This window comes from Homo sapiens, chromosome 20 (assembly GCF_000001405.40).
Source record: "Homo sapiens chromosome 20, GRCh38.p14 Primary Assembly".
Taxonomy (NCBI): Eukaryota; Metazoa; Chordata; class Mammalia; order Primates; family Hominidae; genus Homo; species Homo sapiens.
Window position 1 is genome coordinate 31,376,013 of NC_000020.11, and position 17,466 is coordinate 31,393,478.

Here is a 17,466-nt window from a genome sequence, read left to right on the forward strand (position 1 = left end):
GGTATGTACTTATTATCACGACCATAGGACTGTCAGCCTTTTCCTAGGAATGTGGAGAGTTTTTATTCTCAGAAGAGAAGAGTAACCCCAGAAGAATCCAATGAGACAAATAACAGAAGAGGAACCCCAAAAGATGATGTAGAAGGGGGAGCCTGAAAGTTAGGAAGAAAACAAAGAGTGAAATCACAGAACCCTAGGCAGTTAAGGTTTTCAAGGGGGGAATAACCTATAGTGGAAATGCTGCCTAGAGGCAGATTGAGATACAAGTTGAGGAACATTCTGAAACTTTCAAAACGGAGGTCCAGCTACACTTGTTTATATTTTTGTTTAACTTGTGGACAAAGATTTATAGACAGGTGCAAAAAATAAATCCTCTTTTGCAACCCAGAACTCATTGTTCGGTATGAGTTTTAATACATATAAGAAGGGATATTATGATGAAAAAAAAAAAAAGGAGGTCCACTGGTGACCTTGGCCAGAGCCAGTTCAATAGCAAATAAGCACAAAGGCAAACTGTAATGAGTTGAGGAGAATCAGAGAAGAAGAGAAAGATAATGGGTTAAATACTACTCTACTTTTGACAGAATTTAGAACTGCTAGTGGGAGGTAAGACACAAAAAGTAAAATTAGAATTTTATATTAAAAAGCTGGTGTTAGTTGTCATTGGGGGCATAAGCCTCTTAGGTTTTGAAGAATTGGAGGACCTTAACTATCAACAACAACAGCATCCAATATTCAAAGACCTTCTGCAATAACCACCAAACAGGCCCTTCAGCCTCACAGCTTGAAACCAACACAGCTTATTCCACATTACAGCAGCTCTGTTGGTTATAACGTTTTTTCATGAACTAGGCCAAAGTTGTCTACAAGATCTCTACCTACTGCCCTATGTATCCATCCCACTGGTTAAAGATCCTCCCTGAGTTCTACATGGCACAGATTAAGTCATAAATCTGCCTAAAGCCTTCGACCCTCCCTCATTCGATTCATTCTTCCCCCTTCCTCACCGGCTTGTCTAGCTTCTCTGTAATTGTTTCCCCAGTTTTCCAGCCTTCTTTCTCATGGGGCTCACCCAGAATGAGACAGACATTGTCACCATGCAAAGCCCAGTCTCTCACTATGATTTCCAGTGGACCAAAGACAGACAAGGGTAGCAGGCACATGAATTTTAATGAGGGGGGTTGACAGCAGGTCTCTGTGCCCAGAGAGCTTGAGAATGGTAATCACCAGCACTCAAGGTAGTCTTGGCCACTGCTTCTCATAAGACCAGTCGGTATTTTCCTCTTTGCCAGAAATGCTTATCCTCATGTAGGACTGGAGGCAGCAGGACTGACAATTTCTGCAATAGAGGTAGGGCTGTTCGTTCTTTTTGCAAGAGGCCCTACAAATTCCACTGTTACCCATGCATCGAAGGATGTGGCGTTTGCCTGCCAAAGGAAAAAAAATACAAATAGTTAATTCACCTAGGAGTGACATAAATCTGATAAGTCGGGAAGCATCATAAAAACCTAAAGGGGGAGCAGGGAGAAAACCTAAAGGACAATAGTGACTTCTACTTCCAGAAAAAAAAGAGTCAATGTCTTTTTCTCTATTTGTCCTGCCAAGTTCGGTTTAAAACCCTGGGTCTGTGTGTGTATATGTGTGTGTGTGTGTGTACACTCTGAAAGGTAAAGTAAAGAAGAACAAGGCAGGGACCTCAGGACCTAAGGAAGGACACAGCCATGAATTCCCTGGGTTTTCTTTTTGCCTCATCGATTCCAGACTTGTGCTGGAGAGACTGACAACCTGGAAACACAAACGAGTGCAGACATAGAGTCCCAAGAAAAGTCTCCTCTCTCTAGCCAAAGAACCAGGAAAGGTCAACCTAGCAAGAAAGAACAATTTAGACAATAACCACTCCACTCCAGGAAAAACCAAAGACAAAACTACACTCCCACTCATACATCCACCAAAGAAGGCTACGTGGAGAGCCTCGACTTCTGCCCTCTCCATGCTGTAAGGAGGTGTAACCTCCCAGAGTGGAACCCAAGTGGGGAGCGGGGACTATTATCACTGCTGGATGGTCACAAGGCCCATCACCACCATGCAGTGTCGATAGGAATCATGTGGGAAGCCTCGACTTCCCCTATCTGGTGGGAAGAAGGCATCCCTCCCTCCACTTCCCTGATGGGGTGGTGACAGAGAGGGCCTAGTGCAGAGTCAAGACTTTCACCACCACACAGTAGTAACAGGGCCACCACTCCCTGAGATGTGACTTGGAGGCCACACGGGGAACAGAACATCCCTCCCCATCCCAACCAAGGCAGTACCAGAGGAAATACACCTGGACTTCCACCCACCTGGCAGTATCCAGGCAGCATCCCACTGTCCTCACCAGAGCTGTATCAGAGGAGACAAGCCAACAAAGATCATTGAAATATGATCCAGCATCTCATAACATAATAATATCAAAAACATCCGCGTTCCAGCAAAAATTACTCATCATACTGAGAACCAGGAAAATCTTAACTTTAATGAAAAAAAAGACAATCAACAGAACTGAGAGCAACCCAAGTTGTGTGTATCTATAGTTCATTCCTTTTACTTCTGAGTAATATTCCACAGTATAAATGTAGTACAGTCTATTTAACCATGTGTCTGCTGAGGGCCATTTTGGTTGTTTCCAGGTCTATTAGGAGTTGGGGATTTTTTTCTTTAAGACCATGTGTTTCTTTATTTAACAACTTCTCCCCAAAAGGAAATGTTTTTGAAAATCCCTATCGTTTATAAATTGAAGAGGAACAACCTGATAATAGGTGAAATTTTCAATAAAATGACAGGAACATTTAAAAATACAATGGACTAAATAAAGATTTTTGTATACTGTTGCTTCTAGCAATAATAAAATAGGTAATTTGGAACAAATACCTGGCAGATGAAAAGTGGACACTTTTTTTTTTTTTTTTAGACAAGTCTTGCTCTGTTGCTTAGGCTGGAGTGCAGTGGCGCAATCTTGGCTCACTGCAACCTCCGCCTCCCAGGTTCAAGCGATTCTCATGCCTCAGCCTCCCATGTAGCTAGGATTACAGGTGCACGCCATCACACCCAGATAATTTTTGTATTTTCAGTAGAGATGGGGTTTCACCATGTTGGCCAGGCTGGTCTCAAACTCCTGACCTCAAGTGATCCACCCACCTCAGCCTCCCAAAGTCCACTGCACCCAGCCTGGACACATTTTTTTAATTTGTCGGAAGGCATTAAAAGACAAAATAATGGAGGTTGAGTGGGCCTAAACTAAGAAAAAGTTTGGAAAATCACTATTTTTAATTTTAGCTGCTCTAATAAGTATGTAGTAGTATCTCATTCTAGTCTTTATATGCATTTCCCTAATGGCTAATGATGTTGAACATCTTTTCAAATGCTTATTTGCTATCTCTATATCCTCTTCAGTGAAATGTCTTTTCATATCTTTTGTCCATTTCTAATTGAGTTGTTTATTACTGTTGAGTCTTTTTTTTTTGTGGAAGAAGTCTCGCTTTGTCGCCAGGCTGCAGTGCAGTGGTGTGATCTCTGCTCATTGCAACCTCTGCCTCCCAGGTTCAAGCAATTCTCCTGTCTCAGTCTCCTGAGTAGCTGGGATTACAGGTGCATGCCACCACACCCAACTAATTTTTTTTTTTTTTTTTTGGTGAGATGGAGTCTCTGTCTCTGTCATCCAGGCTGGAGTGCAGTGGCACTATCTCAGCTCACTGCAAGCTCTGCATCCCGGGTTCACACCATTCTCCTGCCTCAGCCTCCCCAGCAGCTGGGACTACAGGCACCTGCCACCACGCCCAGCTAATTTCTTGTATTTTTAGTAGAGACGGGGTTTCACCATGTTAGCCAGGATAGCCTCGATTTCCTGACCTCGTGATCTGCCCACCTCAGCCTCCCAAAGTGGTGGGATTACAGGCGTGAGCCACCATGCCCGGCAAATACTGTTGAGTCTTAAGAGTTGTTTCTATGTTCCAGATACAAGTTCTTTGTCAGATATATGGTTTGAAAATAATCTTGCCCTGTTGTAATTTGTCTTTTCAACCATCCTCTTCACAGGGTGTTTCACAGAGTGAAAGTTTAAAATTTTGAGTAAGTGCAATTTATTGATTCTCTTCTTTTCTAGGTTGTTCTTTTGTATCTAAGACCTCTTCACCAAACACACGGTCTGAATGTTTTTTCCCATGCTTTCTTCTAGAAATTTTATAGTTTTACATTTTATATTTAAATATATATTCCTTTAAAAATAATTCTCTTTAGAGACGGGGTCTTGCTATCTTGCCTGGGCTGGAGTGCAGCGGCACAATCATAGCTCACTATAACCTCAAACTCCTGGACTCAAGCGATCTTCCCACCTTAGCCTCTCGAATAGCTGGGAACTAGAGGCACAGTCACCACACTCAGCTAATTTATTTTATTTTTGTAGAGATGGGATCTTGCTATGTTGCCCAGGCTGGTCTGGAATTCCTGGGCTCAAGTGATCCTCCCGCCTCAGCATCCTGATTCACTGGGATTACAGGTGTGAGCCACCACGCCTGGCGGTTATGATCCATTTTAAGTAAATATTTGTGAAAGGTGTGACGTTTAGGTTTAGGTTTAGATTTTTTTTTTTCGCCTGTAGATGTTCAATTGCTCCAGCATCATGTGTCGAAAAGGACCTTTCTTCCAATGAATTGCTTTTGCACCTCTGTCAAAAATCAGTTGGCTGTACTTCTATGAGGCTATTTCTGAGTTCCCTATTCTGTTCCATTGATTGATGTACCTGTTTCTCCACCAAGACCACACAATCTCAATTACTATTACTATATAATAAGTCTTAAAATCTGGTAAAATAATTCTTCCAACTTTATCCTTTTTCAAATTTGTTTTAGCTATTCTTATTCTTTTGCAGATTTCTCTTCAGGCAGGGTATAGACAGAATAATCTGGTCTATATCTACAAAAAATCTTGCTGGGATTTTGACATAAATGCCTATGTCAATTTGAGGAGAATTAACATCTGTTATTTGAGTCTTACAAGATAGGAAGATGGTGTGCCTCTTCATTTATTTAGCTCTTATTTCTTTTATCAATATTCTATAGTTTTCAGCATACAATTTCTCTACATAGTTCATTAGATGTACACTTAAGTGTTTTATTTTCTTGGAGTGACTTTGAATGGTATTATATTTTTAACTTCAGAGTGCACATGTTCATTGCTATTATATAGAAATACAATTGATTTGTGTATGTTTACCTTGTATCCTGGGACCTTACTGAACCTACTTATTAGTTTTAGGTATTTTGCCTTTGCTTTTTGTTTTGTTTTGTTTGTAGATTTCTTAGGATTTTCTACATAAACCATTATGACATCTTCAAATAGACACCATTTTATTCCTTCCTGTCTAATCTGCATGCCTTTCATTTCCTTTTCTTGCATTAATGCAATGGCTAGAAATACTCAGAACTAAAAGGAACGAATTATTGATACACATAGTGTGGATGGATCTCAAGAGCATAATGCTGCTTAGCTGGGCACAGTGCTCACGCCTGTAATCCCGGCACTTTGTGAGGCCAAGGCGGGAAGATCACTTGAGCTCAGGAGTTCGAGACCAGCCTGGGTGACATGGCAAAACCCATCTCTACAAAAAATAAAAAATTAGCCGCATGTGGTGGCACGCATTTGTAGTCCCAGCTACTGGGGAGGCTGAGGTGGGAGGATCACTTGAGCCCAGGAGGCAGAGGTTACAGTGAGCTAAGATCACACCACTGCACTCCAGCCTGGGCGACAGAGCCAGACACTGTCTCAAAAAAAAAAAGAGCATAATGCTGAGCCAAAAAAGAAATAGCCAATCACAAACTCTCACATATGATTCTATTTACACAGCAATGTCAAGTGACAAAGCTATAGAGATGGGAAAACAGATTAGTGGTTACCAAGGGTTAAGCATAGTGACAGTGGGTGGGGACAGGGAAGAGGGCTGGTATGACTTTAAAGGAGCAACAGGTGGCAGATCTTCGTGGTGATGGAACAGTTCTGCAGCTTGGTCATGATGGTGGTTACATCTACACATGATGAAATGGCATAGAAGTATACACATATATTGAACCAATATCAGTTTCCTGGTTTTCATATTGTATTACAGTTATATAAAATCTAAGCATTGGAGAAATCTGGGTGAAGAGTACACAGGACCTCTCTCTTGTAACTTCCTGTGAATCTACAATTATTTCAAAATAAAAAGTAAAAATATCAATAAATAACCTAAGGGGCTATAGAGAGATTAAAAAAACAAAATCTAAAAAACAAGAATCCCTAGGTGACCAATCCCAGTTCCCATTTTACTTGCTGTGTATCCTGGGGCAAGTTTCTGCACCTCCCTGTTCTACCCTTTTTCTCATATGTATAGTATAGACCGGAAAAATATCTAACCCCTAGAATTTTGAGGATTAGTGGCTGAATACATAGAAGGCAATAAGGGACTGACACATAGTAAGAACTAAATGAATGTTAATTATTATTGTTGTTTTAAATTATCATTTGAGCAAGACCCAGAAACTCCTCTGCATCCTTGCTAACCCTGCCAGCCAGAACCACGTAGACCTAACACAGTGGTCCTCTGCTCCCTCCAGCCCAGAAGTTTCTCCACCCAGATTCCTGGAACCTGGAGTCAGCCTTTTGTGCCCCCACCAGATCCACTCATGCTTTCACTGGTGAATTCATTATTCATGTTCAAGAAACACTCACTAAATCGCATTCGTGCCCAGCACTGGGCTTAACATCAGGCATGCAGATGTAAATAAAACATCATCTCAGCCCCTAAGGATTTCCACCTAATATGTGTGTGTTTGGGGGATTGATGGAAAGGGGACAATAATTCAAATAATTACACAATAACATAATACGTGTCATAACTTCTTAAGAGTGACAGTTTGTGACGCCAATCAAAACTCAGTTTGGAGAAAAAGTGATAACCTAGAAAAGGGACATCAAATTCTCCATAGCCTTTAAAGAGCCAGTAAACAGAGAAAGAAATGTTGAGTGCTGAGGGAAAAGTTCAAGCTAGAACTGTGTACGTAGCTAAAATTTTCTTAACTGATGATATAGTTTGGCTGTGGCCCCACTCAAATCTCGTCTTAAATTGTAGCTCCCATAATCCCCACATATCATGGGAGGGACCCAGTGGGAGGTAATTGAATCATGGGAGTAGGTTTTTCCTGTGCTGTTCTTGGGATAGTGAATAAGTCTCATGAGATCTGTCCAGGCGCGGTGGCTCATGCCTGTAATCCTAGCACTTTGGGAGGCCGAGGTGGACGGGACTCTTGAGGCCAGGAGTTCGAACAAGCCTGGCCAACATGGTGAAACCTTGTCTCTACTAAAAAATACAAAAATTAGCCAGGCATAGTGGTGTACATCTATAATCCCAGCTACTTGGGAGGCTGAGGCAGGAGAATCGCTTGAGCCTGGCTACAGTGAGCCAAGACCGTGCCACTGCACTCCAGCCTGGGCAACAGAACAAGACTCTGTCTTAAAAAAAAAAAAAAAAAAAAGGCCAGGTGTGGTGGCTCACACCTGTAATCCTAGCACTTTGGGAGGCCGAGGCGGGCAGATCAAGAGGTCAGGAGATCGAGACCATCCTGGCTAACACGGTGAAACCCCTGAAACCCCATCTCGACTAAAAATACAAAGATTAGCCTGGCATGGTGGCAGGCGCCTGTAGTCCCAGCTACTAGGGAGGCTGAGACAGGAGAGTGGCGTGAACCCGGGAGGCGGAGCTTGCAGTGAGCCGAGATCCCACCACTGCACTGCAGCCTGGGCGACAGAGCAAGACTCTGTCTCAAAAATAAATAAATAAATAAATAAATAAAGTCCAACAAGATCTGATGGTTTTATAAAGGGCAGTTCTCCCGCACACACTCTTTTGCCTGCCATCATGTAAAATGTGCCTTTGCTTCTCTGCCTTCTGCCATGACTGTGAGACCTCCCAGCCATGGGAAACTGTGAATCATTAAACCTCTTTTTCTTCATAAATTACCCAGTCTTGGGTATTTCTTCATAGCAGTATGAAAATGGACTAATACAATAGATAAGGATACATTTAGATATTTTCAAAAGTAAACCCACTGAGAGACTTGATCACCAACAGGAGCTTCTTAAGAGTAAATTACAAGGGTTTAAAAATATAATTCCATAGAATGAATAAGATCTGGTATTTGATAGCATAACAGGATGACTGCAGTTCACAATAATTTATCGTACATTTTAAAATAACTAAAAGAGTATAATTGGATTTTATGTAATACAAAGAAGAGATAAGTGCTTGAGGTAATGGATATCCCATTTACCCTGATGTGATCAGTATACACTAAATTCCTGTATCAAACTATTTCATGTGCCCCGTAAATATATACACCTACTATTTATCACAAAAAATAAAAATAAAACAACTTTTAAGATAAAAAAAATTCACCGAAAACAAAAAAGTAAACTATAAGAAGAAAGAAAAGAGTTCTTATATGAAGATCTGAGAATCAAAGTGAAGGAATAATAGATATGGTATGGGAAATCAAATCATAGTGGATGAGAGGTGAGTCACAACCACAGTATAAAACATTAAGTTTAAGCAGATATCTGCAATTTGAAAATTGGAATTTGGAAAAAGTGTCCTCTAGTCTGCAAGTGTGCTAATTAGGATCAGCTGAGATCCCTCCATTCTGACATTATCCTCCCTAAATACGTGAAATGTAGACTTTTAACACAAATTTTTAAAAATTTTTTCTAATGTTCAGAAACAGTTTTTCCACTGTTTCCATGTCACTTCATGTGAGTGGTAAGAACAGTAATGATCATTATCATTCTTTTCTTTTTGTTTTCAACCTAACCTGAGTCAATTCTCTCTGCCTTCTATTTTTGTAAAATATAGACACCAGAAGACACCATCCCAACTGAATTTAGACAATGTTATTGTAAACTTCAAAAATAAAAGAAAAGAAAACTGAAAAAAATAAGCTACTGCTCTCACCTTAATCAGAATGAATGTGAATCCACAATACAATTAACAAACATTTCTGCCTTAGACCCCAGGAATACAAATTAACAAACTGCTAGACAAGACTATTATTCTGCTAGATGGAGAGTGAAGAAAGTCTAAAAGAGGCAAGGAATGATATCACCTCAAGCCTCACTGTTTTCTCAACTGAAAAATCCTTTTTCTACTCCAGATCTCTACTCAGGCCTCATTTTAGGATTCCCTGAGAATTGTTCCTTTCTCATAGAATGCCCATATCAAGTGATAATCCAATGTCTGCCATTACTCAGTGACAGTTTAGTACCTACTTTGTATCAAAGAAACAAGACAAATAACAAAAGACAAAAAAAAAAAAAAAAAACACAGTTTGATTCCCTGCTCTATCTTAATACTGTGTGACTTGGGCTAATTATGTCACCTCTCTGGACTTCAGTTTCCTAATAAGTAAGATAGAGATAATAAGAGGATTGTTGTAAGAATGGAATGACACATAGCAAGGGTCAATGAGAACTATTATTATAGCTATTATAATTGTTAAGAAATAATGACACAGGGCTGGGTGTGGTGGCTCATGACTGTAATCCCAGCACTTTGGGATGCTGAGGCAGGTGGATCACTGGAGCCCAGGAGTTTGAGAGCAGACTGGGCAACATAGTAAGACCCTGCCTCTAAAAACACAAATAGAAAAATTAGCCAGGCATGGTAGCGCACACGTGTAGTCCCAGCTACTCAGGAGGCTGAGGTGGGAGGATTGCTTGAGCCTGGGAGGGTTAGGCTACAGTGAGCCATGATCGCACTACTGCACTCCATCCTAGGCAACCAAGCAAGACCGTGTCTCAAAAAAAAAAAAGAGAGACAGATAGTGAGACAGAGTTTATGTGAAGACTTTCATGGGTGGGAGCATCAACTGAGCTATGAAGGATGAGAAGGCGTTCATCACAGAGGTGAGCTGAGTGTTGGGGACCAGCTGGAGGGAGCCATGAACAAACGCAATGTAGGGGGCAGGAGAGGATGGCGAGAGGGTTGCAGTGGCTGAAGAGAAGGTCTGTGAGGGACAGTCATGGGAGGTGAAACCGGGTCACCACGTGAGGGCTTTGAATGTCTGGACCCCGGGTGGTGATGAGCAAAGGAAGAAATCTAAGCAGGAGAATGACATAGAGAAGTTTCCTACCAAGAATCCCTCTAATAATAGAGATTAATGCAGAGAAAACCTGGGGGCAGGGAGACCAGTGAGGAACCATTTTTGGTGTTCTCACCCCGGGCCTCGGGGCACAGGTAGCTCTCATGGGCAGCCTAAGTGTCCCAGCTCCCAGAGAAGCAGCAAAACTGTGAAAAGATTATGCAGCTCCTGCCTCTGAAGTGGGCTGAAAAATAGATTGTGAACCTAAGTATGCATCAACAGATGAACGGATAAAGAAAGTTTGCATAAACACAATGGAATACTATTCGGCCACAAAAAAAGCATGAAGTTCTGTCATTTGTGGCAACATAGATGAGCATGATGTTAAGTGAAATAAACCAGATACAGAAAGATAAATATTACTTGTTCTCACTCATATGTGGAAGCTTAAAAATGTGGATTTCATTGAAGTAGAGAGTAAAATAGAGTTTATCAGAGACTGGGAAGGGTAAGTGGGAAGGGAGAATAGGAAGAGGCTGGTTAAACGGATACAAAATCACAGCTAGATAGGAGGAATAAGTTCTAGTGTTCCATAGCTCTGTAGGGTGACTATAGTTAACAATCATTTATTGCGTATTTTCTTTTTCTTTTTCTTTTTCTTTTTTTTTTTTTTTTTTTTTGAGACGGAGTCTCGCTCTGTCGCCCAGGCTGGAGTGCAGTGGCGGGATCTCGGCTCACTGCAAGCTCCGCCTCCCGGGTTCACGCCATTCTCCTGCCTCAGCCTCCCAAGTAGCTGGGATTACAGCCACCATGCCTGGTTCAATTTTTATATTTAGTAGAGACAGGGTTTCACCATGTTGATCAGGCTGGTCTCAAACTACTGACCTCGTGGTGATCCACCTGCCTCGGCCTCCCAAAGTGCTGGGATTACGGGGGTGAGCCACCGCACCCAGCCTATTGTGTATTTTCAGTTAGCTAGAAAGAGGACTTTGCATGTTCTAAATACAAAGAAATGATAAATGTTTGAGGTGATGGATATGCTAATTACCCTGATTTGATGGTTACACTTTCTATACGTTTATTGAACTATCACACTGTACACCATAAATATGTGCAATTATTATTTGTGAATTTAAAATAATTCTTTAAAAGAAATGGGTTATCAGCCAGAGCAGGATCCAATACCAGGCACAACCCTAACATTTGCAGGTCCTGAGGCAAGAAGGCAAATGAAGGCTACTGTGTCATGTCCTTTGTCTGCATACTTAAATGTTTTAATCAAGCTAATAAAAAGAATACATAAAATATATCTATCCTCATTTACGAGATAGCCCTTCATAATGACCTGAAAGGTCAGGTTTGAATTTATAATTCTCTGATTCCTCAGAACTCCATGCAGGAACATGGCATTCCGAGGGAAGCCTGCCCAGCCCACAGCTCACCTCTCTTCTCACCCATCCCTAGCTCTGCCCACAGACCCTGCAAACAAGAGCATCCCTTGATGCTTCTCCTGCCTAGGGGTCGGCACCCAGTGGGCCCCACCCTCCAGGGAGGGACCTTGAGGAAAGGCCCCTGCAGCTCCTTGAAGCAGGCACAAGGTTTCTCTGGGCAGGCAATCCCAGGACCCAGCTACTCAAAGCATGACCCAGAAAGGGAGGAGGGCAGGCAGAGGCTCCTCGTGGGCATATTCCCCTTGCTCCTAGCAACTCCTCACCCCATGAGGAGGGACTTAGCCAGAGGAGGGGCCCCTCTTTCCAGAGTCTAAGGGCAGAAATATTGAGCTGAGAGCAAATAGTCTTCCTGGATGATAATGAACTCCTTCTGTCTGTCTCTATGCCATGAACCATGCTTTACCGAGCACTCTTGGTCCCTGGCCTCACTGCAGAGGACGCAGTTCAGGGTGAAAAACTAACTGTGTTGGTTAAATGGGGCCCAGAGAATAGGACTTGAGAATAAAGTCTGGGAAGACACCCAGATTCTCTAGATTCCCAAACAGGATTCTTAAATGTTCCCCATGAGTGAGTCTTCTCCCCAGCTAAAGTACCAATTCAAATGAGACAGGCTTCTGTCTCCCTCAGACTCTAACACAGTTGGAAGGCACACAGTTCATATTTCATAAATCCTTGAATAAATCAATGAACAATAGGTGACGACATTTGTTGAGTGCTTACCTTTGCATTATTATGTCATTTCATCCTTACTGCAATCCTGAAATAGATTCTACAATTACTCTAATTTACAGAGGAGGAAGATGAAGTTCTGAGAGGTTTATATGCAGAGTCTGCCAGTAGTAAGTGGCAGAGCTGAAGTGAATATGAATGAATGAATCGGTGAAAGAATGGAAAAAATGAATAATGAACAAATTCATATATAAATAAGCAAATCATGTGCTTTATCTTTTTTTAGTACTCAGACACCTTCTAACCCCTGGGGCTGGGCCTCTTGAGCACTAGAAAGCATCAGCTGGTTTCTCTAGAACCCCAAGGATTTGGGTTATATTCAGCCCCATCCACTCTCAGCCCATTCACTCTCAAGATGGACCAACTCTCCCAGCCTAAGGATTCTCCCACTCTTTAGGCATCTGCTATGCCTTTAAATCTCTCAGCTCCCACCATGTTCTCCCCAGTCCACTCCTGACTCAATAGCCTCTCCTGCAGCTGGTAGATGGGGAATCATCTTCAAGACTGTAATGATCACACCATCGCTATGACCCAGCCCTAGTGACTTCTCTCGACTAGCTCTTCACCTCCCCCTGCCATCCCCCCACCCTCAATCCATTTGAAGTATCATTCCTTATGATTGACAGACACCAGAAACAAATTTGTGAGTTTTAATGAAATGTGGACCCTAAGCAACCTGAAACAAAGTCATTTCTATCTATTAGTTATATTTGTCTTCATTTTTGGAGCTGTTGTGGACATCTGAGGAGTGGTCCAGCCAAGGATTCCATGAATTGTTACTGGTTGGATTGTTAAATAACGACTAGGAACACAGCACCGTTTACGATTTCGGCAGCGTATGATGCTGTCTTCACCATCTTTGCACAACAACCGGCAGTGTCCATCCATCCAACACTCTACTTTGGGGCATATGAACAACAATTAAGCAGATGTTAGTATCCCTCAAGCGGAGAGAAAAGACAAGGCAGAGGAGGAACAGGAGGACAGGGAAGAAGAGAAGAAAGCCAGCTGAGTGAGTAATGCCAGACCCAGTCCCAGGAAAAGAGAGAAGAGACCTTGAGAGGGAAGAGAACTGAGACAATGGTTCCAACTGAGAGCTCCGAAGTTTTTGGGAGAGCCTTTTTTGGACTTCTCACCCTTCTGTCTTCCTAGCCCCCAACTTCCTACTCCTTACTTTGGAATCAACTGAAGCTAATTAATGTCCCACCTAGCAGAGCTAGGGATGAAGGGAAAAGGACATGATCACCTGTAATATTAGGGAACGAAGAGGATTCACTCACATTACACAGACCCTGTTTCTTATCAATAACCTGACCCTATTTCACATAAGCCCAACAAGCCTCAGCTCCAGCCGCATCCCAATCTGCAATCTTCCTTGACCCTATATTAACCCAATTCAAACTCAAACTCATTCAGGCCTGCCTTAATTAGAACTCCCAGCCTTACTCAACTCAATGCCCCCAAGCCCCAACTCCAAGCCAAACCCTAATCTAATCTAATCTAACCCTAATCTAATCAAGTCACTAACCTCAATTCCCAGCAGTATGCCATGACCAAGCTGAACCCAATCACCCTGCAGCATCCAGCACCGACTCCCAGCCTCAGCCCAAGCCCCAGCCTAATCCTCAACACCAGCTCCACTCAACCCCAAATCCCATCCTGTCTCCAACTCTGCCCTAAACCATCAGGGAAGCCCAGCTCCTCACCTCCAGCTCATCCTAATATTCCTTCTATCACTCCAATCCCAAGGTTTTTCCTCCACATCACAACTCACCCCAGCTTCCACTCTAGTCTCCCGAAGTCCTCAACAAGTCCCCAACCTGCACCCACGCTTTGCCCCTCAAACCTCTCCCAAGCTCCCACCAGGATACCACCCTGGCCCTCAAGCACCAGATGCTCCAAACATCTATCATCCCACCACTCTGGCAAAAAAGAATCAGAGAGAGATATTAACTTGAGATGATCCTGGGCAAACCTCCCGAAGCTGCAGGAGAGAAGGAAAGGCTTCAGATGATGCCCACAGTGAGAGGGAAGGGAAAGACGGGAAGCCCATGACCAGGAACCCAGACCCCCGAGAGAGGTTCACGTTACCTGATATCACTGGTTCTTCTATGGCCAGAAGGATGGCAAGAAACAGGTAAAGAAGTTTCATGGCTGGCAGACCTGAGAGGAGGAGGTGGCTGAGCTGCAGGGGAAGGAAATAGGGTTCCCTGCAGCACGGCAGAGATGAGCTTTGCTTTTATCAGCAGGGCTGTGGGCAGTGAATTAGAACAGGAGGGGATTTATATGAGGTCATCCAGGCCAAAGGACAGTGTGTAGCAGATGTCTCAGCAAAGCACAAGATGAGAGTGTGGGAAACTGGCCAGTACCAATGCCAGTAAAGGGACAGGTCAATTAAAGCCATTTGGCCTGTGAGACCCACAAAGGAATTAATTAATGCATAATAAATACATATCAAGAAATATTTAACTTAAAAATTACTTTGCACTTCTCTGATAAATAGTAAGAACATTTATTCAACACATGTATTTGTCTCTTTGTTTCTTCCTTTTGAATTATTTAGTCAGATATCTGGACAATTCTATTGGGGTGTTGTTGGGTACTTGCTGATTTGCAAGAGCTCTTCAGTGCTGTTATTATATTAACTGTCTTGTCATGTTTGGTGACAATATTGTTCTCCATGATTATGTTCTGTTTTAAAATATATTTTTTCCTATAAATGTTTAAAAGATATTTAAATCTTAAAAACTAAATTAAACAGGCCAGGTGTGGTGGCTCACACCTGTAATCCCAGCACTTTGGGAGGCGAAGACAGGGAGATCACAAGGTCAGGAGTTCGAGACCAGCCTGGCCAACATGGTGAAACCCCGTCTCTACTAAAAATACAAAAATTAGCCAGGTGCCTGTAATCCCAGCTACTAGGGAGGTTGAGGCAGGAGAATTGCTTGAACCTGGGAGGCAGAGGTTGCAGTGAGCTGAGATCACGCTATTGCACTCCAGCCTAGGTGACAGAGCAAAACTCCATCTCGAAAATAAAAATAAAAAAATTTTAAAAAATAAATTAAACGAGAATTACTTATTCTCAGCTTTCTAACAGAAGGATACACATGTGTCTCAGCTTTCTAACAGAAGGATACACATGTGTAATGTCTTTCAGAACTTTGAACTTGCCAATCTTGTTTCCAGTTCAGGGCCTTAGCAGTTGTCATCTGTTCTCCCTGTAAAGCTCTTTCTCCAAATCTTCCCATGAAAATCTCCTGCTCATCATTCCATATCATCCCAAATGTCACCTCCTTGGAGAGACTTTCCCTGGCCACCTTAGATAACGGTAACTCCAACCCACAGTCACTCTGGACTGTAATAACTTGGTTTATGATCTTCATATATGTATCTATTCTTTTAAATTTTATTTTACATGTTTGATTTTTGTCTCTCCACTTAGAATGTCAGAAACCTGGCTTATAACCCCAGTACCCATAACATCACCTGGTGTATTAAGATACTTATTCAACTGTTTTAACTGATATTCCCCCCAAATAAGAATGATTCCAAAAGACAGACATGGATTTCTTTTTTATGTAAAAGTCTGGGTATGCAGTTAAGTGTGACAGCTTCACCATTCAGCAGGGATCTAGGTTCCTTTTGGCTTGATGCTCTGCCATCCTCAAGAGGCTGCATCATGTGATGACCCTGAGCTGCTCCAGTTCCCACCGTCAAGTTCCCATCCAGCCATCAGGAAAGGAGGAGTGATGGAAGTGAAATGCAACACCTTTCCCTTTAAGGACACCACTCAGAAGTTTCACCCCTCGGCTTGGCACAGTGGCTCACACCTGTGATCCCAGCACATTGGGAGGCCAAGGTCGGTGGATCATTTGAGGTAGGAGTTCAAGACCAGCCTGGCCAAACTGATGAAACCTCGTCTCTACTAAAAATACAAAAAAAAAAAAAAAAATTAGCCAGACGTGGTGGTGAGCACCGTAATCCCAGCTACTCAGGAGCCTGAGGCAGGAGAATGGCTTGAACCCAGGAGGTGGAAGTTGCAGTGAGCTGAGATCGTACCACTGCACTCCAGCCTAGGCAACAGGGTGAGACACCGTCCCTCCAAAAAATAAGAATAATAAGTTGCACCCTTTGCTTCCAATCCTGTCCACCTCCCAGAGCTCATTTAGACCATCATGCGCAGCTGCAAGGGAGGCTGGAAATATTTTCCTTATTCTAGGCAACCATTTCTAGCTAAAATATAGGGGTTGTCTTATTAAGAAGGGAAAGAGATACATGGGGGGTGGAGTTCTAGCAATCTCTAACATACCTGACATTAAATATTAAATAATATTTAATAAATATCTGTAGACAAATAAATATAGCTTACTTTAATAAATAATTATAGATAAATAACTTATACATTGAGTAAGGCTATGAGAAGTGATCTAGTGGGGAGGAAACCCAAGTCCCTGTAACTCCAGGGCTTTGGGAGGCCAAGGGGGGAACCAGATTGAGCCCAGGAGTTCCAGACCAGCCTGGGCAACATATGTGACCTCATCACTACAAAAAAATTTTTTAATTAGCCAAGTGTGGTGGTACACACCTGTAGTCCCTGCTACTCAGGGGGCCAAGATGGGAGGATTGATTGAGTCTTGGAGTTCAAGGCTGCAAAACATTCAATTGTTGTTTTTCTGCCTTCCCTGCAGCTAGAATATGGACACGTGGGTAGGTTCAGCCAATCAGATGACTCCATACTATTTTTTGAATCAGGTGCTCAAGATTCCAGGAAGAAGGAACAGTAGATAATTTATCTTAACAAAGGAGTCCATTATGATGTCCAGTTTCCAGGGGCAATAGGGAAGCAGGGCAAATAGGGGTAGAGTTTAGGGTCCTGAGCAATGGCGTTTGGTGGCAGCTGTGTCCTCACTAGACCAGGTCCATGGGGTGATTTTTCACTCTGGCTCCTCCTACCCTTCCTCCCTGGTTCCTACCCATTTTCTAAGCCTCGCTCTAGGAATTCTCTGAACTTCCAAACAGCCAAAAGATTCCCTTTGCTAAACACTCTTACGGATGCAGTGACCATGGGCAAGTTGTTTAACCAATTTTGGAGATAATAATACGGGCTCATGGTTTGTTGTGACCTTTAAGTGATAAGTGCCTATCCA

At 42.6% G+C, this 17,466-nt stretch overlaps 1 protein-coding gene and 1 non-coding gene across 8 annotated transcripts; one reads left to right on the forward strand and one right to left on the reverse strand.

Annotated features, from left to right (window-relative positions):
- Positions 1-306: 306 nt before the first annotated feature.
- LOC124900462 (small nucleolar RNA SNORA40) lies at positions 307-434 on the forward strand. The gene has a single exon (XR_007067765.1). It is a non-coding gene; the product is annotated as a small nucleolar RNA SNORA40 (small nucleolar RNA).
- A 716-nt stretch (positions 435-1,150) lies between these two features.
- On the reverse strand, positions 1,151-14,637 carry DEFB119 (defensin beta 119). 7 transcript variants are annotated; one of them, NR_073152.1, is made up of 4 exons: positions 14,411-14,637; positions 12,311-12,347; positions 2,375-2,379; positions 1,151-1,339 (listed from the first exon to the last, which is right to left on the reverse strand). NR_073152.1 is itself a non-coding variant. In NM_153289.4 (2 exons), exons 1-2 carry the CDS (start codon positions 14,469-14,471, stop codon positions 1,234-1,236), a joined length of 255 nt encoding a protein of 84 aa, NP_695021.2. In that variant the 5' UTR covers positions 14,472-14,578; the 3' UTR covers positions 1,152-1,233. The 7 variants fall into 7 exon arrangements, 3 of the variants coding, with proteins under 3 accessions (NP_695021.2, NP_001258138.1, NP_697018.1); NR_073151.2 differs by having other exon boundaries at positions 1,152-1,427; positions 2,340-2,379; positions 14,411-14,578; NR_073153.1 differs by lacking the exon at positions 12,311-12,347 and having other exon boundaries at positions 1,151-1,427; positions 2,340-2,379.
- Positions 14,638-17,466: the final 2,829 nt, after the last annotated feature.